The following is a 25,408-nucleotide window of genomic DNA, read 5'->3' on the forward strand; positions in this document are numbered from 1 at the left end:
TGCTTTGCCTTGCTATGCGCTGTTGCTTATACATTTCTGGAAGACATTTTCCCATCCTCTGCAGTTTACCTTGTACTTTTATTTTCTCCTTGTTGAATTACAAATAGATTAACACGCTCAATAGGTTTTCCTTGAATCCAGCTGAATGCTTCAACCTCCCACATGTGCTTTTTTTAGTTTTGTAACATGACAGGGAATGAGGTGAATGAGCTGAGGATGTGGCCTTTGTCTTGGGCTGAAGCAGTTCTCAACCCCCAGATGGCTTGTCCCTACTCCCCCAGGCAAGAGCCCATACCTCAAGATTATAAAGAGAGGTTTTAAATAGAAGATTGTTCTATCTAAACATGTGCCTAACTGACATCTATTTTGTTATTATGTGAAACACATCCATATATAATGTATATGTATCCATAATGTATGTACATATATGTATTTCCCAACTCTCTCATGTCTGAATATTACATCCCTTGACTATCTTCTGTGGCTCTCCGAGTCCACTTGGCATTTGGTTATCAGCTTATACTTAACAGCAAGTGTCGGTCTGCAGGCCCATCACCTATTTTTGTAAATAAAGTTTTATTGGCACATAGCCACACCCATTTATTTACATATTGTTCATGGTTGCTGTTTTGCTACAACTGTGAAGTTGAGTTGTGTCAACAGAAATGTATGCCCCATAGAGCTGAAAGTGTTTCCTGTCTGGCTCTTTACAGGAAAACACAATTTCTGATCCTTCTTCTGTGCTACCACTTGGTGTGTTTGCAACTTCACTGTGCTGTCTGTGGGTATTTGTGTGTTTGTGTCTTTTTTTTTTTTTTTTTTTTTTTGAGATGGAGTCTTGCTTTGTTGGCCAGGCTGGAGTGCAGTGGCGTGATCTCAGCTCGCTGCAACCTCTGACTCCCGGGTTCAAGTGATTCTCCTGCCTCAGCCTCCTGAGTAGCTGGCATTACAGTCCTCCTGAGAACCTGCCACCACGCCTGGTTCATTTTTGTTTTTTTTGGTAGAGATGCGGTTTCACCATGTTGGCCAGGCTGGTCTCGAACACCTGACCTCGAGTGATCCACCCTGTCCCCCGGCTTCCCAAAAGTGCTGGGATTATAGGTGTGAGCCATGGTACCCGGCCTTGTGTCTTTTCTACGTGGACAGTTAGATTTGTCCAGTTAATCTTACCTTGGGCCAGTCACTTAACTTCTCTCGGTTTTATGTCTACATCCATAACTTGGGCATAATAACAGCATCTCCCCTGTAGAGTGGCTTGAGGATTCAGGGGAAGGCGAGCAAAGCACCTGGCATTCACAGTGTCCAGTTCACATGACGAGCTCATTTAATGGCACCCAGGCTTGATAGAAGGTATGTGTTATGATCTGGGTGGTATCTCCTGCCATTTTGGAGCAGATGCTAAGAAGCAAGTCATTCAGCTGAGGTCTAGGGGAATAGACAGAGATCCAGGCCGTTACTAGGAGACAAGCTATGCAATAGTCAGGGTTCCAACATTGCCTGCCTCTTCCAGCATCCGTCACCTCCTGTTTTTGTTCAGCCTCCTTGCCACTCTGCAGTTAGTTCAAACACAATTCTCACTTCAAGGCATTTGTTTTTGTCTTTTTGAAATGGAGTCTTGCTCTGTCACCCAGTCTGGAGTACAGTGGCACAATCTCGGCTCACTGCAACCTCTGCCTCCCGGGTTCAAGCAGTTCTCCTGTCTCAGCCTCCCGAGTAGCTGAGCTTACAGGTACCTGCCATCATGCCCAGCTAATTTTTGTAATTTTAGTAGAGATGAGGTTTCTCCATGTTGGGCAAGCTGATCTCGAACACCTGACCTCAGGTGATTTACCCGCCTCGGCCTCCAAAAGTGCTGGGATTACACGTGTGAGCCACTGCGCCTTAACCACTTTCAGGCATTTGAACTTGCAGTTCCCACTGCCTCACCTTGTTTCCTCCAAGACATCCACATGGTATACTCCTTCCTCAACTACTTTATCTCAAATAGCGGCCCCATCACTGTCTTGCTCCACGCCCTCATACTCATCACATGTATGGGTCATTGTACTTCATATCAATGTGTTTATGTGTCAGTGTCCTGTCTCCTGTACTGAAAGGCACTCCCCATGCAGTTGAGAAATTCATCTTGTTATATGCCCAGCACAGTGAATTTCACCTGCGTGAAATAGGGGAGCACTAAATATTAGTTGAGTAAATGCATGAATGGATGAACATTCCTTAAAGTGGGAATGTCTTTCCATGTTTCAGAATTCTCATCTGCCATCTCTCTTCCCATGCATGAAGATAAGCAGTAGACTATCCACTCCTGCACCTGTTCATATACATATAGAAACACGCACTGAGACCGAGCACCACACGCACAGACACTCACACACACACATGCATTCAAACCTCTCCATGCAGACACATTCTCTGGAGCAGTCTGGATGCAGCTTGTAAAAGTGCCTCCTCATTCAGCACTTGGACAACCTAAGAGCCTCTTCAGTAAGATCCTGATAGCTTTATTGGAGAGGTCTTGGGTAGAAAAAAAGCTGCAGCTTAATGAAGGCCTTTTAACAGTCAATCTCAATTCCAAGGAAAAGCAAATCTATTACCAGCGTCCGATAATTTCTGCTCAGGGATTCCCACTCTTGGAATGGATTTTTTTTTCCAGGGCCTCTTTTCTAATTAACTCTGGAGCGTAGATTACAAGAGGCCGGCCTTGTGAATGAAGGGGGCACCTCGGCGGAAGTAATCACTGGAGGTGATGTTTAATTAAAGAGATGCTGTTAGAGGGAAAAGACCTGAGCAGGCTGGAGTGCTAATCCTCTTGCCGTGCTAGTGTGTCCCTGCGTGATTGTGATTGATGAGCTGGTCCTGCTCACATCTTCATCTGCAGCGTGCTCATCCCTGCAGGAGGGGCTTCAGCTCCCTCCACATACATGCTTAGCCTGGTGTTGTTCTGGCATGGTGAAAGGGATGGCTGTGCAGTTTCCCTTTCTCACTCTGCATTTTTCTCCTTTTCTTTTTCTCCTTTATTATAGCTAGATAGTTGGATAGATACACATTTAGATATACAACTATGTACAGATATATATGGACCTCTATATCTATCTACTGTCTGCCTGTCTATCTGCTATCATTCTTTCGTTGTTTGTCTATCATTCTATCACTCTGTACATTCATACATTCATTATCCATATATACATTCATCCATTGTCTACCTATCTACTATCTACCTGTCATTCTGTCTATACATACATCAATCCATCATATGTTTATCCATTCTGACATCGTCTATCTATACGTTCATCCGTTACACACCTATCTACTATTTACCTATCACTCTATTTGTCTGTACGTACATCAATCTGTCCATCATCTATCCATCTATCTATACATTCTCACATCCCTTATCTAGCTATACATTCATCTATTATCCACCTATCTACTATCTACCTATCACTTTATTTGTATATGTATACATCTATCTATACATATCCATACATTAATCTATCCATCCATCTATCCATCTATACATTCTCACATCCATTATCTATCTATACATTCATCCCCTACTTATCTACTGTCATTTTATCATTATGTTTGTCTATACGTTCATCAATCCATCAGTCTGTATACTTCACATGTCCACTATCTATGTATACATTCATCCATTATCTATGCCTCTAATCTCTCTATTGCTCTGTCATTATATCTACCTACCTATGCATCTATCTCTATCTTTATAAAATCTTGCTGTGAATCTCAGCGTGTCTGTCTCCCCATGTCTGTGTCTGGCTTTGTCTTCATTTTTCTCATTCTGTCCAAATCTCTCTGTTTCTCTGCCTCTGTCTGTCTCTGTTTCACTGTTTGTCCTTTTGTTTCTCCTAGGTCTGCCCTATTAGGTAATTTTAGGGAACGTGTAACTGATACCTTTTTTTAAATTCAAGAGTATTAATGGTTGAGTAATGTAAAAGCAAGTTTTTGGTTAAGCATTTACTAAATGACAGGAACTGCCTGAGGTACCTTTTGGCAAGTATTTCATAATTGTTCTTAAAATAGCAAATATTAATCTCTTAATATGTGCCAGGTCCTAATGCCAAGTACTTTATGTATTAATCCCATTTAATCTTCAAAATAGTCTTATGTTGTAGCTTCTTTTGCTGTTCCTATTTTGGAGATTAAAAAACTGAGGCTTGGAGAGAGAATTATTATTATTATTTTTTTTTTGAGATAGAGTCTTGCTCTGTCACTCTGCTGCCCAGGCTGGAATGCGGTGGTACCATCATAGCTCACTGCAGCCTCGAACTCCCGGACTCAAGAAATCCTCCAACGTCAGTCTCCCGAGTAGCTGGGATTACAGGCACACACCACTATGCCCAGAAAATTGTTTTTTATTTTTTGTAGAGACCGTTTTTTTTTTTTATGTTGTTCCGGCTGATCTTCAACTCCTGGCCTCAAGTGATCCTCCCAACTCAGCCTTCCAGAGCACTGGGATTACAGGTGTGAGCCACCACGCCCAGCTAAGTTATGCATATTATCTTTAATCCACACTTTCGCACACCAAGATAACATTTTATTTCCACCTTTTAATGATGCATGTACAATGGTTTTAAAAGTTAAGGTGAATTTTCCTTGGTCAGAGTTTTTAAAGAATGTCATTCTAGGGATCTTACTTCAGATGTGTCTCTCTCCAAAATGCTCCTTTTGAATGGACAGAAAGGTAGACCTGTGTCTCCCCATGTTTCTCTGTGATTGCTCCCCCTTTAAATCTGTGTCCCAGCTACATTTAGTGAACATCTTTGCCATGTGGCTTCTGAATGGAGGAGGCTGCAGAACTTCCTTCAGTCTTCTGAGCCATAATAAATTGGCAGAAATGTCTGATTTGACGTTTTCCCCCCCTTGTTCAAGGCAGATGCTTTTCTCATTACTGAGAAAAGAATGACACTTTGTCTCTCCAAGAGCTCAGGCGTTCATAATAGATAAGTGTGCAGTTTCTGATCTTGGAGCTGCTAGCTCTGCTAGACTAGGGGAGGCTCAGCTCTATCAGGGCTCTATCCCTGGCGAGATTAGGTTTGCAGAATCTCTACTGGAGCTTGTAGCTACTCACTAGAGTGGATTGGTCTATGATTCTAGTTTCACTGTTTATAGTTCAAAATTTTCCAGCCAGCCAGGCTGTCTTCTTAATTAGAGGGGTTGAGTCTGACATGGAAGGAGTGGATAATGTACCTTTACTCCCCATTTTCATCTATCAATGGAAAAGAATTAAAATAAATTCAACTGTGACTTGTTTAACTCCCACATTAACTTGGGTTAGCAAATTCTACTTTGTGGAAGGAACCATGAGGAAGAAAACAGATTGTAACTATGGTCTGTGCTAGTTCATAAGTCCAAGTTCAACTCTGGTTGAGGTGGGGGTGTTGATAGCTTTCACTAAACCTCAAATTGTTCATTATCTTCTAGTCTTGGTGAAACAAGCTTTCCCATGTCTCAAAAAGACCCACCTAATAAATATAATCAAGTCCCATCTTACCCAGAAACAGCACCTGCTGTTACTCTCTGATTCTCATTGTTTTGCTCTGACATTAGGGTGTCTTTATCAGCCTAAGGATACATAGATTCTTAGACAGTTTCAATCTCTTATCTTCTTTAGGTGGCCTAAAATCTAACACTGGAGATCTCTTCATCATAGCACCCTTGGAAAACTCTGAAAGCTGTCATAGGTCTAGAAATCCATCAACTCCAGATTCTAAAGAGACAACCAAATGGCTCACACTTCTTACCGTACCTGCACCCACAAATCTGGCTCTTAAATAAAGTCATCAGCCCTCTAATTATACTAAGATATTCAAATCATGAGATTCGCTCTGAAGCCAATTCTTCAACCACCCACTTACCCATCTTTGCTTTCCGGGCATTGCCACATCCCTTTTTCTTGGGGTTTCCTCCGCAGGAACACTCCTTATCTGCGACTTTGGTTGACTGTAAATCTTGTACTGTTGCTTTGCTATTTAATGCAACTTGTCATCTTGTTTTTGGCCTTGATTTGATATCCTAGTAAGGGACTCTTCTTGGGTTTTGCTTTAAGATTCAGTCTGCTGAAGGGCTGTGACTCCATTGTGAGCAGAAGCAGCCTGGGAAGGCAGGACTAGACACACCAAACATCAGCCAGACAGGTGATGTGATCCCTCTGATTTTCAGAATTCCTTTGAGAGATCACTTGGCCCTTCCCTGCTGATCTTTGGGCTGGAGTCAAGGCAATCTTTTGAATTAGTTCTGTCTCTCTCTAAATTATTTGCTTTATGTAATAGGAACATGCCTCATTTGGGCTCTTTATTTTATCTATTTTATTTGAAACAGGGTCTTGCTCTGTCACCCAGGCTGGAGTGCAAGTACATGATTGTGGCTCACAGCAGCCTCAAACTCCTGGGCTCAAGCAATCCTCCTGCTTCAGCCCCCTGAGTAGCTAGGACCGCAGGCACATGCCACCATGCCCAGCTAATTAATATATATATATTTAAAAACATGTCCTTGTATTTAACAGAATTTTAAGGAAGAATTTGATTTTTAGTAATTTACAACTTCTCTGGCCAATCTTCCAAATCTGGCTAATTTTCATTGTACCACTCCGTGTGTTCCTTTTTTGTCATTCTGAATATTGATGATTATAGTCTATGTTCCTAACGCCTAGGCTGATAACACTCTACTCAGCCTACTTTGTTCACATTTCCAGCATCAGAATCCTGTGTTCCATGCTTGTATGTTGTGGAACGAGCTCAATTTTCAGCATTAAATTTACCATGCCAAAAGGTGGAAAAAGACTCTGCAATAAACAGACTACTTAGCATGATTTTGTCTGCCTTCTGCATTTGGAATTCCCAACATAACCTAAGCAGGCATAAAATTCAGTTCTTTAAGATTCGTTTACCAATAAGAATGTTGTAAAAATTCAAATAAAAGGAATGCAGATTAGCAGAGAGAATGCTAAGCAAGTTTTTTGTTTCTGTCCTTGGTGCTGAAAAAAATGGGGGTCAACTTTTCTACCTTAGTGAATTTAATGATGTGGTGATTGTATTTAAATGACTATGTGACAAGGGATCAGATACTTCCCTATAATCATTCTTTAGTTTCCTAGAACTGTAGAAGCTTGGTGGCATAATGAGAGCTGCCTGTCACCTACCCTAGAACTGTCCTGTCTCATATGACAGCCACTAGCCACATGTAGCTACTTAAAACGACACTAAATAAAATTAAAATTCAGTTTCTTAGTGATATCATTTAGATATTGTCCCATCTAAATCTCATGTCAAATTGTAATCCCCAGTGTTGGACTTAGGGCCTGGTGGGAGGTGATTGGACCATGAAGGCAGATTTTTTTATGAGTGGTTTAGTGCCATACCCTTGGTGGTAGTGGCATGATAGTGAATTGTTGTGAAAGCTGACTGTTTAAAAGCGGTTGGCATCTTCCCCTTCACTCTCTCTTGCCCCGACTCTCACCATGTGACATGCCTGCTTCTGCTTCACCTTCCACCGTGAGTAAAAGCTCCCTGAGACCTCCCCAGAAGCCAAACTGATGCTGGCACCAACCATGAGCTAATTAAGCCTCTCTTTTTTGAGACGTCCCCCAGGCTGGAGTGCAGTGGTGCGATCTCAGCTCACTGCAACCTCCGCCTCCCAGGTTCAAGCGATTCTCCTGCCTCAGCCTGCCGAGTAGCTGGGATTACAGGTGCCTGCCACCACACCCGGCTAATCTTTGTAGTTTTAGTAGAGATGGGGTTTCACTATGTTGGTCAGGCTGGTCTCAAACTCCTGACCTTAGGGGATTCGCCCGCCTCTGCCTCCCAAAGTGCTGGGATTACAGGCGTGAAGCCACTGTGCGCAGCCTTAAGCCCCTTTTCTTTGTAAAATACCCATTCTCAGGGATTTCAAGAACAGACTAACACACTCAGTCAGACTGTCTACCTTTCAGGCGCTCAACAGCCACACGTGGCTAGAGTTTCCTGTGTTAGACAGTACAGATATGGAATATTTCTGTCATCTCAGCAAGTTTTATTGGACAGTCTTCCCCTAGAATCATTGCAATAGACTCAGTAACGCCCACAAATCTGTCCACATCATAATCACTGGAACCTGCGAGTGTTACTGTATATGGAAAAAGGACCTATGCAGACAGATTTAAGTAAGGAGAATTATTTCTTTTGAATTGGAGAGATTATTCTATAGTATCCAGATGAGTCCAGTGTAATCACAACAGTACTTACAAGGGGGAACACAGAGGTGTAGAGTCAGAGTCAGAGAGGAAGAAAATGTAATAACAGAATCAGAAACTGGAGTAATGCATTTTGAAGTTGGAGAAAGAGACCACAAGGTAAGGAATTAAGGTGGTCATTAGAAGCTCAAAAATGGCAAAGAAACCGATGATCCTCTCAGAGCCTCCAGAGCCCTGGTGACACCTTGACTTTACGTCAGTTGAGAAATCAGAACTAAAAGAGAATATGTTTGCATTGTGTGAAGCCACAATGTTTCTGGTAATTTGTTATAACAACAATAGAACGCTGATAAAATCATCATTATCATTGTCATCATCATTATCGTCATCTCAGTAGGTGCTTGGTTTTAGTTTGGGTTCTTATAATTTTGCATTCTCAAATAGAAAGTCAAAACAATTTCTTAGTTATTTGAAGAACCACACTGATAAGCAATGGCACCTTTTATTTTTTGAGATTTTCTTATTGGCTTGTGAATGATTTCTTCTCCGAGAGTGGTTATGGAGGCTTAAACAGTATGTCATGAGTTAGCAATGTCTAGTGGGGGAGCTATAATAGATAAAGGTGAGAAGAGATAATTCACATGGCCCCACTTTCTGATTTTTTTGGACTGGGATGTTTGTCAATTGCAATTCTCGTTTTGAGCATGGTGGTCAGATGAGATTGGCCTTGCTGAAGCACAGGCAAGCATCCCATTAAATGCTTTTAGGTGATTCAGAACCAAAGCTCAATTCAGTATTTTAAAGGCGCCCTTTGGGGAGACCATCTCTGGCCTTCCTACCATTGGCGGCTAGTGTGTTATTTTCCAAGCCCGCTGTGTGATGATGGGTGTGATGTGTCACACTCCTTCTCTGCTCCCTCAACATGCTCCTTTCCTCCCAGGCTGGGTTTGATGGATTATTTTTTCTGGAAAATTTTCCTAACCCCCTGCACACTGCCATCCAAGTCACTTCGCTTAAATAACAATAACAGCAATAATAGCACAGAGATGTTCAGCATAGTGATAAGAAATTTACTTTCATGACCTAATTTATTGTAGAAATAATCCTATGAAGGGTATGCAGTTTTTATCTCTCTTATGACAGAGAGGAGCCAACACTCAAAAAGGTCATGATACTTACTCAAAGCCATATACCTGGTAAGAGGCAAAGCCAGCATTTGAACAACAGGCCTTCTGAGTCTGGAAGTGGCTTTCATTCCGAAACTCAGCAGAAGTTTCTCCTTCCCAAATGCTTGAGCTCCTTAATATCAGGAACTGTGTTACCTACTTTTTTTTTTTTTTTTTTTGCACTATAAAATCTTCATTCTTTATTTTAGATACAGGAGGTACATGTGTAGGATTGTTACATGGGTATATTGGACCAAGGTAATGAGCATAGAAGCCAACAGGTAGTTTTTTACTCCATTCCTTCCTGCCATTTTAGTAGTCCCCCGTGTCTGTTGTTCCCTTATTTATGACCGTGTGTGCTTGATGTTTAGCTCCCACTTATAAATGAAAACATGTGATACTCGTTTTCTGTTCCTGCATTAATTCAGTTAAGATAATTGCCTCCAGCTGCATCCATGTTGCTGCAAAGACATGATTTCATTCTGTTTTATGGCTGCATAGTATTCCATGGTGTAGATATACCACATTTTCTTTATCCAGTCCACCGCTGATACACACCTAGGCTAATTCCATGTCTCTGCTGTTGTGAATATTACAGTGATTAACATACTTGTGCAGGTGTCTTTCTGAGATAACAATTTCTTTTCCTTTGGGTATTTCCCCAGTCATGGGATTGCTGGATTGAAGAGTAGCTCTGTTTTAAGTTCTTTGAGAAATACTCAAACAGCTTTCCACAGTGGCTGAACTAATTTTACACACCCACCAAAAGTGTATCAGCCATCCTTTTTCTCTGCAGCCTCACCAGCATCTATTGTTTTTTGACTTTTTACTAATAGGCATTTTGACTGGTGCGAGATGGTATCTCACTGTGGTTTAGATGGGCACATATTTCCCTGATGATGATTATAAGCATTTTTTCGTATGTTTGTTGACTGTGTTTATATCTTCTTTTGAGAAATGTCTGTTTGTGACCTTTGTCCATTTTTTTGCATGTGCAGAATTTATTCAAGTTTTAATATAATTCCATCTTTAAGTCTCAGAAACCTTTTTACATTTATTTTAAGACTACACATTGGGTACAGTACACACTGCTTGGGTAACGGGTGCACCAAAATCTCAGAAATCCGCACTAGAGAACTTATTCATGTAAGCAAACATCACCTGTTCCCCAAAAACCAATTGAAATAAAAAATAAATTACTTTTTTTCTTCTCCATTCAAAGATACTAGACTATTTTTTTTGAAAATCAGCAGAATTTCATTGAAGTTCCTCATTTAAATTTATGTTTGAATCCTGTAGATTCTTAATAAGTACTTCCATACAGAGAAGAAGCTAATAAGAACGTTCCAGAGAGATCCTACAGAACGTGGTGTGGTGGGAAGATACTAGGCTGGGTCCACATTCTGTCTCTATCAGCAGTGAGTCAGTGCACACATCCTACCTTCTGGGCATCAGTTTCCTCACCTTTTTATTTTATTTTGTTTTACTTTTGAAGTAGGGTCTTGCTCTGTCTCCCAGGTTGGAGTACAGTGGCATGATCTCAGCTCACTGCAACCTCCATCTCCCAGTTCAAGTGATTCTCTTGCCTCAGCCTCCCAAGTAGCTGGAATTACAGGCATGTGCCACCACATCTGTCTAATTTTTGTATTTTTAGTAGGGATGGGGTTTCATCATGTTGACCAGGCTGGTCTTGAACTCTTGACCTCAAGTGATCCACCTGCCTTGGCCTCCCAAAGTGTTGGGATTAGAGGGGTGAGCCACTGTGCCTGGCCAAGTTTCCTTATCTTTCAAATGGGGATAGTGATATCTAACTCAGAGCCCTTATGGGGATGTAATGAGGTAATAGATGTCAGTCACTTAGGGTGTATACATGAGTTTAATCATCATCATCATCATCATTAATACCATTTCTGTACCCCCAAAGTGTGTGTTCAAGTACTTGTCCACATTCAGTGGTCATAGCAAGGCCTCAGTTTACTTGAATGTATTTACATTCCAACAATGTAAACCTTAACAAAGACTTTTTTTTTTTAAATTTGACCACTGCAGTGTTCTCATAGAAAAGACTACAGAACAGAAAAAAAAAAAACAGTTTGCATTGTGTAATTGCTCCAAATTGTATTTTCTTTTAGAAAATAAAAAATAAATCACTAGAATCCTATTTAAATACAAGTTTAAAAATTAATTATTTTGCACTAGACACAGAATGGACTGAAAAAATTAGGATTAGAGTCATTGGTACCCATACAGATGTGAAGAAGTTGTCCTGAGAGTGAGCCTCTGGTTTCATCTGTGCTTCTCTGTCTCCACTTGGCTTTGTCACGTCTCCCATAAATGACCACAGTCATTTTATTGCCTCTCTCCATGTCCCCACCTTTTCCTGTCTCCAGCCTACCAGCCATTTAGTGGCCAGCGTGGTCTTTCTAAGACAAACCTGACCATGTGAATCCCATGCCTGGAACTCTTCAATGGCCTCCCGTTACTTAAAGGATCAAATACAAACTACTTTATGTGTCATTTTCTGATTCTCTTCCTATGCCCACAACCTTATTTTCTAGCCCCAGTTCCTGCTAAATCTTCACCACACCTATACTCCAGCCATATTATCCTGTTTTCTGTGTTCTTTTATGCCCTGATGCTGAGTGTGTGCTTTTCCTCTTCCTTGAATTTGCACCTAACTCACTCCATCATCTCCTCAAGATTCCTCTCAACTGCTACATCCTTTAAGAAGCATTTGATACCTCCTGTCTCTGAATTGAGAGCTTTCTTCTTTGCCCCCTATAATAATTTATACTTATAAAATCCATGACACTTGCTTTGATCATCGATTTTTTGGTATCTCTCTTTATCCAGATCTTAATCTGCATGAGAGCAGGACTATTTTCTTATCTCTGAATGTATTTTATATTAATGCAAAAACAAATGCTTATTGTGAACCTACTGGGGACCAGACACAGTGGATAAAGGTACCTCTAGTGCATTTCTAAACATAGTCAAAAACTACATTTCGAATGAATTAATGAATGCAAGATATCCTTCCATGTGTCACTGAGACTTTTAAAAAGAACTAGTTTCTTTCTGATCAAATTCAATGGATAACCTTGCAGAGCAAGATCTAACTCAGAATGTCTACGGATGCCTTAAGCATTCTGCATACTGGAGCGTTTTCAAGAGCCCTTCTCTGACCTCACACACAGCGAATGTCTGAGCTCTGTAGGCTATTTGTAGAGAGTTTATTTCATCTTTGCAGAAAGCTGCCCAGTATAAATATTAGTCAGTTGATTTCACACAGAGTAAAAACAAGCTTTTAAAAGCTTTTACCTCTCCTGTCCCCAAATAGGTGCTTTAGACAGATTCTCTGAGCCTTGGGAGCTTTGTTGGATTTGGTAAAGTGAAAGTTATGTTCTGTTCCGAAGCAGCCTTCTGTGAAGGCTGTCTTGGGGTTGATGCTGTAATTGTGCAGAAAGGTAAAATGAAGAATAACAAAGGTGGCGTGTGGGGTGGGATGGAGATCAAGCTTCCCTGTTCTGGATATATCTCCATAAGTCCATTTCAAAAAATGTTCACGTTTGGTGCCAAGGTGGTCACTTGGTATTGTAAAGGAGTGGTGGCTTCAAATTTAAATAGTCTAAGTTCAATCTTAGCTCTATTAATGAACTAGCTAATGGTGTACATGGGTCTCACTCAGCCTCTATGACACCTGAACCAATGAGTATAGCTAGCATTGTCCAACAGAAATATAACCATGGTCACAAATATGAATCACATATGTAGTGGGTTTTTTTTTATACTTTCTGGTAGCCATATTAAGGCAAAACAAAATGCGTGATTTTAATTTCAATATTTTATTCAAGCAGATATATCCCAATATATAACCAAGCATAATTTTATTTACCCAGTATATCCAAAGTGTTACCATTCAACATGTAATCAAACTGACACTACTAAAGAGATATGTTGCATTCTTTCTCTTGTATGACGTCTCTGAAATCTGGCGTGCAGTTGCCATGTACAGTACGCGTCATTTCAGACCAGCCACATTTCAACACCCAATGACCACACATGGCTAGTGGCTACCATGTTAGGACAGCAAGGTGAAACTACAATGCTTAAGCTGATCTAGCAAGCTCTTAAAGCTCTCTGACTAGGATTACAATATCTGCTTCACAGAGAGCAAATGAGATCGCATGAAAATTGTCATGCGCCCCAACTTTCTCCTCTGAAGTGTTAGTGTATAAGCAACAGATTAAGAGGATAAGGTGTCACAACATCCTTAGCTGTTTACCTAATTGTTGCATTTCTATCACTGGACCTCAAACTCCATGAAGTAGACAGTGACATCACTCAATACTAGGTCTTCCGTGACTAGCACGTAATAGATGTATTAATTTCCCAGGGCTACGAAAACAAAGAACCACAAACTGGGTGACTTGAAATAGAAATTTACTGGCTCACAGTTCTGGAGGCCTGAAGTCTGAGACAAAGGTGTGGATAGGACTGGTTCCTTCTGAGTGCTGGGAGGACAATCTGCCCCATGCTGCTCTCCTATCTTCTGGAAGTTTACTGACAATCTTTGGCATCCCTTGAGTTGTAGAAGCATCACCCATTCATCTTCAGATGGTATGCATATCTGTGTCCACACTTTCCCATTTTATAAGACACAGTCATATGGATTCAGAAGCCCACCCTGCTCGCTACTCAGGCATGACCTCATCTTAACTAATTACATCTGCAGTGACCCCATTCCCAGATTAGGTTACATTCTGAGATACTGGGAGCTGGGACTTTAGTATTGGAATTTGAAAATAAGACAATTCAACCAATAACAGTATGTGTTCAATAAATTCAAGTCAGATATATGAAAAAATAAAAATTGAGTATAAAGATAATTTTTGGCTACATTGACTGGATTCCAAGAATCTTCCATTCTGTCTAAAGAAGATAGACACGTTAAAAATCAAACGAGAAAAAACAGTAAGTGAAGAGGATGAATGCAGCCAGTGGGTAGTTAGACTATGCAAAAACAAGTGCGCCAGAATCACAACTCAACATATATTAAGGCTTTCATTTGGTGGTGTTTTGAATTAGAAATATTTAATGTCGATCAGCCTCAGTTTCCTTAGCATTATCTACTTCGCAGTTGTTGAGACAATTAACTACAATATCCTAAGTTGCACACAATTATTGGGCCAGACTTCTACACTGTGAGTATCTGCAAAAAAAAGAAAAAAAAAAAACATTGTTCACTGCTGTGCTTCTTCCCTCTGATTTACCAATAAGGGAAACATCTTCCATATTTCCAAAAACCCCTGGTTTTCCTTGAGTACACCTTGACATCATGCAAAACCTCTTCTTCCTCAAGTCAGCCAGGCCCTGCTGTACTCTAAGCTGCAACCCACTGGGCTCAGCATTCAATCAGGCAGACGTCCTTAAAAGATCACACATTCTTAGCTACGGAAGAATAATATTTATGCACTGCTTAATCATGTGAAGAAGCACAGACTCTCCAGTCTCAAGTGGAGACATTGGGTGATGTATAGGCTTAGAGATCCTCATATTGGGAAAGAGTCAGTTACTGATCTTGGCTCTTCACTTGCCAAGATGGAACTGTTTGGTTTCAATTCTGTGAACATACTTACAAAGTAGTAGGAACTTCAATACTGTGTGCTTCTGCTTAGTTGGGTTGTACTGAATTTGTAAGTCCAGTGAGGTTGTATTTTCCCTTTGTTCTGATGAGAGGTCTAGCCACTTTGTGTTTCAACTGTTATAATGTCCATATTCAGTTTTCTTATTCCCCCATAAAAGTTCATGAGATAGAAATGGAGGAAACGTAGATATGCATCATGCATCTAAGCCTATTGTTGTAGCTAGACTTGTCGGGTCATATGGATGAAAATATCTTAGGGAACAGTTTGATGCATTGGAAATACCTCTAGGGTTCATATCACTAGATATGATTTGGGCATTTCACTGAGTTACCTGGCTCTCAGCTTCTTCCACTAAATAGATGTGAATGATACCCATTCTGACTTTCTTTCAATATTGTATGTAAGGCTTAAAACGATTATGTTTAAATGCTCCCAATAACCTTTACAACCTATCCCATGATATGGTTTGTCAGTGTCCCCACTCAAATCTCATCTTGAACTCTAGTTCCCATAATCCCCATGTCTCGTGAGAGGGACCCGGTGGGAGGTAATTGAATGATGGGGACAGTTACCTCCATGCTGTTCTTGTAATAGTGAGTGACTTCTCATGAGATCTGATGGGTTTATATGAGGCTTTCCCCCTGCTTTGCTCGGCCCTTGTCCTTCCTGCTGCCATGTGAAGAAGGACATATTTGCTTCCCCTTCCACCATGATTGTAAGTTTCCTGAGGCCTCTCCAGCCAGGCTGAACTGTGAGTCAACCTCTTTCCTTTATAAATTACCCAGCCTCAGATATGTCTTTACTTGCAGTGTGAGAACAGACTAATATAACCCAGCTGAGATATTTTGATGATGGTGATGGAGAAGAGAATGATCATTTGTCCTATTTACCTAAAGTGACTACTTGTTTCCTCTGCTTATTTCTTCTATTTCAAGCACTAGAGTTACTTCCATTGAGAAGGTAATGTCAAAATGTAGCTTAAATTATCAGCTCTCTCTCTGTTCTTACCCTTCCTCTTTCCTTCCATTCATAAGACAAAGGAATGCATAAGACAGCTTTATCTTGGCATGTATCATTGTTGCATTTACTCTTTGATTTAATCAAATCGTGTTTGATCATTCACTCTGTGCTTGCCATTCCAATAGTGCTGGGGATATGCTGTCCTATAAGACAGACATAGGTCTCTGCTTTTGAGAGCTTTACAATCCAGTAGCCTCCAGGTCTTCAGCCCAGCTCTATATTTTATAGGTCCTATGTCTCTGTGAAAATGTCCTCATTGCTTTGTTCTACTTTGTTTTCTTTGATTCTGCCACTCAGACTATCAGATATTCTGTCCTAACATTTAGCATTACAATTGGCCTTTCTACATATTGTTTTGTCAGTCTGTATCCTACCACCTGGCTGCTTCCTGCTCTTCAAGAACATCAGGTTAGACATCAGTTCTTCTGGAAAACCTTACCTGATAAATCATTTTGTTTCTTAAATTTATCTTCTCTGGGCACATACCCTATTGCACTGTAAATCTCTAGGCTATTCTATGACTCCTGCCAGCCTGTAGCTATAGAGGTACCTGGGCTATGTCTACCTTATTCACCACTGTAGCCCCCAAACATAGCACAGTCCCTGACATCCAACAGATACTCAATACCTAACTCCTGAAACAATTGCGTGAGTATCATGCTCTTGCCCATTTGGACAGTTCATTGCCCTTGCTTTCTGGCAATCTCTCCTAATTTCATTTCTTCCAAGTCCGACTATCATTCATTTTATGACAGCCTTTTTTTTTTCAGCTGGCAAACTATGAGAGGCTAAAACTTATGCAACACACAATGAAAGACAAGGTCATATTTTATCGTCTTTGCCTGTTGCAGTAACCAGATTAGACATCTTTCTACAAGTGAGGCGAATGCAAGCCAACCGATATCTATCATGTCAAACACCTGATTACTATGTGCGGAAGAAAAAGAGGGAACCATTAAAGATACATGGACAAGCACCTGCCCTTAAGGAGCTTACAACATTGTGGGAGGTCTCTGGTTTCATGTAAGAAAATCGAATAATTAAAAATACAGGCAGATGCTTGGCTTTGTGCATTCTTTATAAACAATGTAGGGGTGGCAGGTGGTTGCTAAGTTTTCACCATATCATGCCTCCACAAAGCCATTGGGTTGTTTAGACTATGTTTACGTACCCAGCTTTGAAAAGGGGCTGAAGAAGAAATAGAAGATATGTTGATTCATGGTAGTGAGGCATAAACTTTTTTGTTTGTTTGTTTGTTTTGTTTTTTTAATTATACTTTAAGTTTTAGGGTACATGTGCACATTGTGCAGGTTAGTTACATACGTATACATGTGGTGAGGCATAAACTTTTATGATGGGTAGAAAACTTTATAATGTGTTATAAGAAGAAATGATTCTGAATTGGCTGGGAGTACTGGCTCATGCCTGTAATCCCAGAACTTTGAAAGGCCAAGATGGGCAGATCATCTGAGGTCAGGGTTTGAGACCAGCCTGGCCAACATGGTGAAACTCCCTGTCTACTAAAAATACAAAAATTAGCCAAGTGTGGTGGCAGGTGCCTGTAATCCTAGCTACTCGGGAGCCTGAGGCAGGAGAGTCGCTTGAATCTGGGACACTGAGGTTGCAGTGAGCTGAGGTCACACCACTGCACTCCAGCCTGGGTGACAGAGCAAGACTCTGTCTCAAAAAAAATAAATAAATTATTCTAAATTTATCCATGTCCAAGATTATGGCGTCCACTCCTTGCACTACTTTTTATCTAGAATGTTTATTTTTCTCTTCACTAGAACATTCTGTCATCTGTAACCTAATCCCATTGGGGAGAGTATTTGATTATCCTTTCGTTAGTGTGACTTAATGCTGCCAATTTTCCAAATCTAGCAAGAGATCCTTGGTGACATTCTTAGTGGGATACCGTAGTCAGCAACGTTCACGGCAGAGTTGCTGTCTCTCTAAGCGATTTGGTTTTCTTTGTATGTATAAGGACTTCCTCTCTTACAAAGAAAGTTGTGTCACATTCGATCGATCAATTTCCTCCTTTAGAAGCAGGCAGAGAATACTCTGGACAGCTATGATGGAATAAGTCACACAGCGATATTATCTCAAATTATATCTGTAGGGTAACTGCAAGTCAGGTATTTAAGGGGACAGAATCCATCCTTCTCCCCTTGTGGATTTGGTTAAATGTAGTAGTATTAGCAATGGCACAAGTCATCTAAATTTATCTTGAATGTGAATTTGACACTGATGTTACTCTGGTGGTAGTAGCAAGAACTTTTCCCCCTTTAGAAAAAGTGGGCTGGTGAAAGGAGATGGATTATGAAAGTCTGTTCAGGATTGAGGCTTCCCGCATACCCAGGAGGTGGAGAATCCCTATTGAATTAAAATTCAAAATGCATCTGTCTGTTCTTTCCCTTACAAAAATTCACTTTTGCCAATGTTTATTTGCATGGTTTGATTTTCTGCTTGTCCATATGCCCTTCTGTCCATACAAGTATATCTGTGACAGTGATGGGCAGCCCCATCTGTCACTCAGGAATGGATGGCAGTGGTGATGGTTGGTTGGTATTGATAGCCAAGTACTTACTACAGCTGAGCTTTCTGGTCTTGACTGTGTATTATAGTTATGCAAGAGGTTATCACGGGGAAAAATGGATGAACGGTGCCCAAGATCACCTTCTACATTTTTTGAAACTTTCTGTATAATTATATCTCTATGATTATTTGAAAATAAAAAATTAACAATAATGGCAGTCATAGGCTAGGCTCTGGGTTCAGAATTGGGTTGGTACAAATTTCTTCATGGAACCATCATGACCTGAGATAATTTTCTTAGCGTCTCAGAGCCTATTATTTATGAAATGAAGATAAAGTCGGTGCCCGTATCATCGGGCTGTGGGTTGCATTGATGGAAGTTCTATTTATAGAACATTTAGGGCAGTGGCAAGCATGTGGTTTAAGCCCTTCTAATTGTATTATTGTTATTATCAAGAATGTTATAAGTAACACTATCATCATTAACGTGATTAATCTACCTGGGTTCTGGATCTTAGGGTGGCAGGAACATGGTCTTGTGCCTTTTTGACAACCTCTAATTTTGCCTAGGATACTAAAAGACTTTGTCAGAATGTCTCAAAAATATTTTATGGTGAATTGTTCCACCATAACTCTCACAAATATCACCTCTTATCTCAGCCCACAAAAAAAGGTCAATTATAGATAAAGGAAAGGACCTCATTGTTGCCGAAAGACTTAGATATGAGGTCTGGATTTGCACTTATTCACTTCAAGACTTTATGTTTCCTTATCTGTGAAGTGGGTGTGCTGAAAATGAGTTTATTACTCTAGCTCCTGTGGAGATGAAGTGAGATTATATATATATATATATATATATATATATATATATATATATATATTTATATATATATATATTTATATATATATATATTTATATATATATATATTTATATATATATATATAGTGACTAACATTGTCTGATACTTAGAAGGTGCTGGAAGAATACCAGCTGTTCTGGCTGTTAGTTTGTATTAATAACAGGCAATAATACGGCATTTGAAGCAATTTCGCAAACAGACAGGTGAAGCCCTACGCAGCATGCCTTTCCAGCGCGAAATGCTTCAGTGCAATGTTAGGATATTCTAATGGGGAAACTTTTTTCAGTAATGCAGGGCAACGGTGGATGGTTTTGACCTTGCTCTCAGTGCCCCGAGGTGCTGAGTGAGTCAGAACATGTCTCAGTACTACTAAAAATGAAGAGACTAGCTTGGGATTCATTTTTTATTCAACAAAACATTTTGAATGCTTTTGTACATGTGTGTGTGTGCTCGCATGTGTGTGCACCTCAGACACTCTTTGAGATGATTGAGGCAACAGTGATGGACCAAAAAAAAAAAAAAAAGGAAACCAGACAAGGTTCCTATACTCATAGAGTTCACAGTCCAGTTGGAGATGGACACCAAAATGTGTATATAATGTCATACTTTGACAGAGGTTTTCAGTGGCAAGACAGGGTCCTCTGAGACCCTGGAAAAGTGAGAAACTCCATCTTCCTAAGTGCTTGATGCCGTTGGTTGGGAACTTCACTTGTTCTGGATGTCGCTCATTTTTTAAGGGCTAAGCACATATTTCCCTTTGGAATTATCACCTCAGAAGTGGCCATATCCAGGTCTCTGACTTGTACAGAGTACCATAAATATTTTATTGTCAGTGACTTTTAAAGAGTTGAGAAAAACAGCCTCTCCATTGCCTTCTGTAACTCCAAATGGAAAATCAGGATGGAACATTTTGCAAACATGACACCTCCTCACTGCAAGTCGACCGCCCACTCGGTTGGCTTGTGTTTCTGAGGCTGGTGTTTGTCAGCCATGGCAAGATGGCTTCCATCCTCTCTCTGTGCTTCCCTACTGAGCCGGAGAAGTGAAATGAGACAAGTAGCTTTGCTGGAATCTGTAACATGGATTCTGTCATCTTTGTTGTTTGTTGGATTTTATGAATTATGGCTTCAGCACAACTTTAGAGTTCTTTGTTCAAGAGATAATTTTCTGGCCAGGTGCAGTGGCTCATGCCTGTAATCCGAGCACTTTGGGAGGCTGAGGTGAGTGGATCACAAGGTCAGGAGGTTGAGACCATCCTGTCTAACATGGTGAAACACCATCTCTGCTAAAAATACAAAAAGATAGCCGGGCATGGTGACGGGTACCTGTAGTCCCAGCTACTTGGGAGGCTGAGGCAGGAGAACTGCTTGAACCCAGGAGGCGGAGTTTGCAGTGAGCAGAGATCGCCCCACTGCACTCCAGCCTGGGTGACAGAGCAAGACTCTGTCTCAAAAAAAAAAAAAAAAAAAAAAAAAAAAAAAAATTTCTGTAAGCTGGCATAGTTACCAGAACAAAAGTTTATATGTTTATCTAAATGAGGTCAGATCTGAATTCATCTCCAAGTATTTAAGAATATACAATGTAGGATTCTGACAGATTTGGGTACCTGGCACTAACAAGTTGTGTGAGCATGAGCAAGTAATCCCACCTAGCTTGAAAAAGAAGATAAAAATATGCGGTGTGTTGGATTCTTGTTAAATGAGGTAATGTAGGCAAAGCTACTTTATTGAATTTTGTATGCTTGGTGCTTAGAACAATAATCAGTTCATAATTGGTGTGCAAGAAAAGATTTCTTTTCCTCGTTACCAGACATCGTCATCACCATCACCATTATTACCATCACCTTCATCATCATCATCATCATCATCATCACCACCACCACCATCTTTGCTTTTATCTTCTTATGGATTCAGTAACAAGAATTCTTCAATAAGACTCATAATAAGATTGTGTTAAAATTCGGGTTCTTTCCCTTACTAATGTACGAGATCCATGTGTTGGAAAGTGTTTTCCATTTGTTTAGCACCTCAGTTTTCTTATCTGCCAAAGGTACCATAATGAGGTATGTGATCTGCCAAAGGTACCATAATGAGTTTAGTATTCACTGAAGTAGGTTAGAGTCCAACACACATCCCTTCTTCCTGGGTTCTCCAGAGGAAGAACTTCACTGGACTGGAAGGAGGATCAGTTTTATCCCCACAGTGGGACATATGTGCATACAGGACTTTCTAGATTATAAAATACATTCCAGTAGATTTTTCCCTCTAAAGCATCGTAAGAGTCTCACTGTGAAGAATAATATATATTACTATTTATATTTTATGAATAAGGAAACTGGGTCACATAAAGGTTGAATGACTTGCCAATAGTTTCACCATTATGCTCTTGATGCCTCAATATTTGACTTTGATTTCATAGTCACAGCATTAAAAGGTTAGATAGTAACACTAGAAATTACCTGGCCTATCATAGTGTTTTTCCATTTATTTATTTTTACCCCAATTCATAAAAGATTTTACACTCTGAACCCATTCCTCCACATAAAGTTTTCATGAAACAATATAAACTCTTAACTATTTTATTCTTCTCTCATGTGTGTAGATTATTTCATTTAAAGAATGTTGGTATGATGATCCCCTACATGGGTCTTACAGCCTAAGAGATCAGACTGACAGAATAAAAAACACAGAACATTTTTCTCCAGGATTGTGTATCAGAACTATCTGGGGCAACTTTTGACAGTGCCCATCCCTGGATCCCACCCTCAGAGATTCTGAGGCAGTAGGTCTGGTGTGAAGGCCTTGGAACGTGATTTTTTTTTTCTTTCTTTCTTTTTTTTTTTTTTTTGAGACGGAGTCTTGCTGTGTCACCCAGGCTGGAGTGCAGTGGCGCGATCTTGGCTCGCTGCAAGCTCCGCCTCCCGGGTTCACGCCATTCTTCTGCCTCAACCTCCCAAGTAGCTGGGACTACAGGCGCCCACCACCACGCCTGGCTAATTGTTGGTAATTTTAGTAGAGACGCGGTTTCACCGTGTTAGCCAGGACGGTCTCGATGTCCTGACGTCGTGATCCGCCCGCCTCGGTCTTCCAAAGTGCTGGGATTACAGGCATGAGCCACGGCGCCCGGCCGGAATCTGTTATTTTTAAAAGAATACATAAGGAGCTCATGCTCCACTGACTAAGGACCCATGTTCTGTTGCATCTATCTGATTGTTTCCAGCTGAAACTCTTTAACTCTTTGTCTATTTAAGTTTTTTTTTCTTTTCTTTTTGAGATGGAGTCTCACCCTATCACCCAGGCTGGAGTGCAGTGATGCAATCTTGGATCACTGCACACTCCACCTCCCGGGTTCAAGCGATTCTCGTGCCTCAGCCTCCAAAGTAGCTGGGATTACAGGCACCTGCCACAATGCCTGGATAATTTTTGTATTTTTCGTAGAGATGGAGTTTTAGCAGGTTGGCCTCAAAGTCCTGACCTCAAGCGATCCGCACGCCTCGGCCTTCCTAAGTGCTGGGATTACAAGCGTGAGCCACCGCGCCCGGCCAGTTGTTTTGTTGTTGTTTGTTTTTGAGTATTTTCTGCGTTATTCCCTAGGACATTAATGCTTTCACCAGGGAATTGTCCGTCTTGGTCTTGTCTCTCTTTCCAAGGTTGAAGGACAGAAGTTGGCCTCTCAGTTGAGGACAAGAGCTTATGGTTTGTGCGAATGGCTGCTGTCCTCGCATACTGAGCTGGAGTCTTGTGAGACAGGGCCTCTTGTCCTCTGTGTTTATGTGGTTAGAGAGGGGAGCTGACACATCCTTTTAAAGAAACTGAAAGGGCTGCTTGTTTTAACTCTCACTCTGTGATGCATTGCAGAGATCCCCAAGGTATGATTGGAAATGGAAACGTAAGGACGGGCACAAATACTATGTATCCAGATTTTCTTTCCAACCTTGTAGAGCTGGGAATTAAAAAGAAAAACCTCGCCCAGGGGCCACCTGAACTAGAACCTGCAAAACAGACAAGCAGAAAGGTTGAATTCTTCCAGGCGGTCTCTTCCACCCTCACCTCCTCCTCTGTTATACAATTTAATTACAACTTTATTCACTTCAGAAACCCCATCCATTCCTTCCAGTAGGGGAAGATCTCTCTTTCCATAGCAAGGAGCCTTGGTGATAAGCAGCTATCTGTAGGAACGGTGCATGGGACTCTCAAAACCTCTCCCTTGACAAGCAAGAAAGACATGAGCAAATAATAACTGAAATTATTTTGACATTTCACTCTGGTTGTTGTAGTTTTCATAATAAAGGAAGAACAAAGTACTTGCAGCTTTAAATAAAGAGGCTGCCTTTGGCATTGATGTGGGATTTCACTGGGGAATTTTTTGTATGAGTTCTTGTTTTTGCTCACTGGGAGAGAAAAGAAAACGATAAGCCATGAAAAGACAAAAGTCCAAGGAAAGGAGAAAGCAAGACCCCTGTACTTTTTCTTGATAGCATTTGTCACCCCTGGAATATTGCGGTCATCTTAGTATTTATTTTTTGTTTCTTGAAGTCTGCTGCTGCACTTGACTGTAAGGTCTATAGGGACAAAGATGGTTTTGGATTTTGCTTACCGTTGCATTAAATGTGAATGAATGAATTCGTTTACATAATGTGTACTAGGAGCCAAGCCCTGTGTGTGTGTGTGTGTGTGTGTGTGTGTGTGTGTGTGTGTCTGTGTCTGTGTCTGTGTGTGGTTTTTGGTGATGTGATTTTTAATTAGATCCTTACAATAATATGGTGAAGCTACTCATCATTGGTCCCATTAAACAGAAGCAAAAACTAGTGCTTGGAGTATCACAATAACTTGTCTAAGATTACACAGCCAGTCTGCAAAAGAGCTGGATTTCAAAATCTTCCAAGTCATCATCAGTTATGGTATTTTTAAGATCGATTTGCAGTTAACCACACAGCTTTATTACAAATTCATGCTCTCTTGATGTACTCACAGTATTTTTCAAAATTTACCTATTGCTATCTCTCTATCTCTTTAAACTTTTTTCATCCATCCTCTGTCTCTTCCCTTTTATCCCTGAATGTTTGCCCTCCCCTCTTAAGAAAAAATAAGATAGTAGCAAGCTCCCTGCTGGATTTTATAACTTTGCATACCATATATTTAGTTTAGTAATGAAAAATTCCAGCTCCAGGCGATGCATAGAATCGCATTTCTAATGTTTTTTAAACAGCTATTAATGTGGTCGAGCAGTGGGTTTTTTTTTTTTTTCCCTTCCTCCTCTATATAATCATCTGCTCAGTGGTGCGCTGTGAAACTGAGAGTAGGAGCCAGAGGAGGAGCAAGCTGTGATTGATGGGCCAGGCCTTCCTGGCAGAAAAAGTGCCATCTGGGTTGGTTTTGGGAGCAGTCAGATGTTGAGGGGGAGGTCAGCCAGGCGGCCTCAGCCCCCCACCTTCCTCAACACCCCGATCATCCACACATTGCACAGCGCGCACACCCTCGCTCGTAATTGAGGCGTGCTTGGGGCAGATGCTTTGTGGTGTGGGACAAGAACAGCTGCTAAGTTTATGGAGGAGAAAGGAAGCAGGATGGTGCAGCAGGTATTTTTGTTTTTTTTTCCATTTAATCTTTCACTCAAAATTGCGATTTGAATGAAGCTGAAAGCTTTTCTTGTGTTAAGTCCGTGCTGTCGGTGACACGTAGCTTGCTGCTTGAATCATGCCCGGGGAAAGGAGAGGAGTTTTGGTGAAGAGAGTGTGTGTGTGTATGTGTGTCTGTGTGTGTGTGTGTGTGTGTGTGGGCGCGCGCGCACGCGCGCACGCGCGCTTTCTGCTTGATGTGTGGAACTGAGCTGATCTTAGAACCAGCAGGTTAATGGTGTCCTTTTGCATTTTTCTTCTTTGTTTGAATGCCCCTAGGGCATGATGCAGTTTAGCTCAATTCACTTCTGCACAAGAGGGTTTCTCTGAATATGCGCGATTTCTTGCCAGAGAAGTGGTGTAGACCATG

At 40.9% G+C, this 25,408-nt stretch overlaps 1 protein-coding gene across 52 annotated transcripts in view; it reads left to right on the forward strand.

Moving 5' to 3' along the window:
• Positions 1–25,408, forward strand: part of RBFOX1 (RNA binding fox-1 homolog 1) — a 2,473,620-nt gene that overhangs the window by 2,245,593 nt on the left and 202,619 nt on the right. For 5 of the 52 annotated variants that reach the window (NM_001415911.1, NM_001415902.1, NM_001415917.1 and 2 more), the window contains exon 1: positions 24,809–24,999. The exons of the other annotated variants lie outside the window; for them this stretch is intronic. In NM_001415911.1, the coding sequence (NP_001402840.1) occupies positions 24,967–24,999 (33 nt within the window). In that variant the 5' untranslated portion in view covers positions 24,809–24,966. Of the gene's footprint in view, positions 1–24,808; positions 25,000–25,408 lie in introns of those variants that run through there. 52 annotated transcript variants of the gene reach the window in all.

The sequence above is a fragment of the Homo sapiens genome, chromosome 16, assembly GCF_000001405.40.
Source record: "Homo sapiens chromosome 16, GRCh38.p14 Primary Assembly".
NCBI lineage: Eukaryota > Metazoa > Chordata > Mammalia > Primates > Hominidae > Homo > Homo sapiens.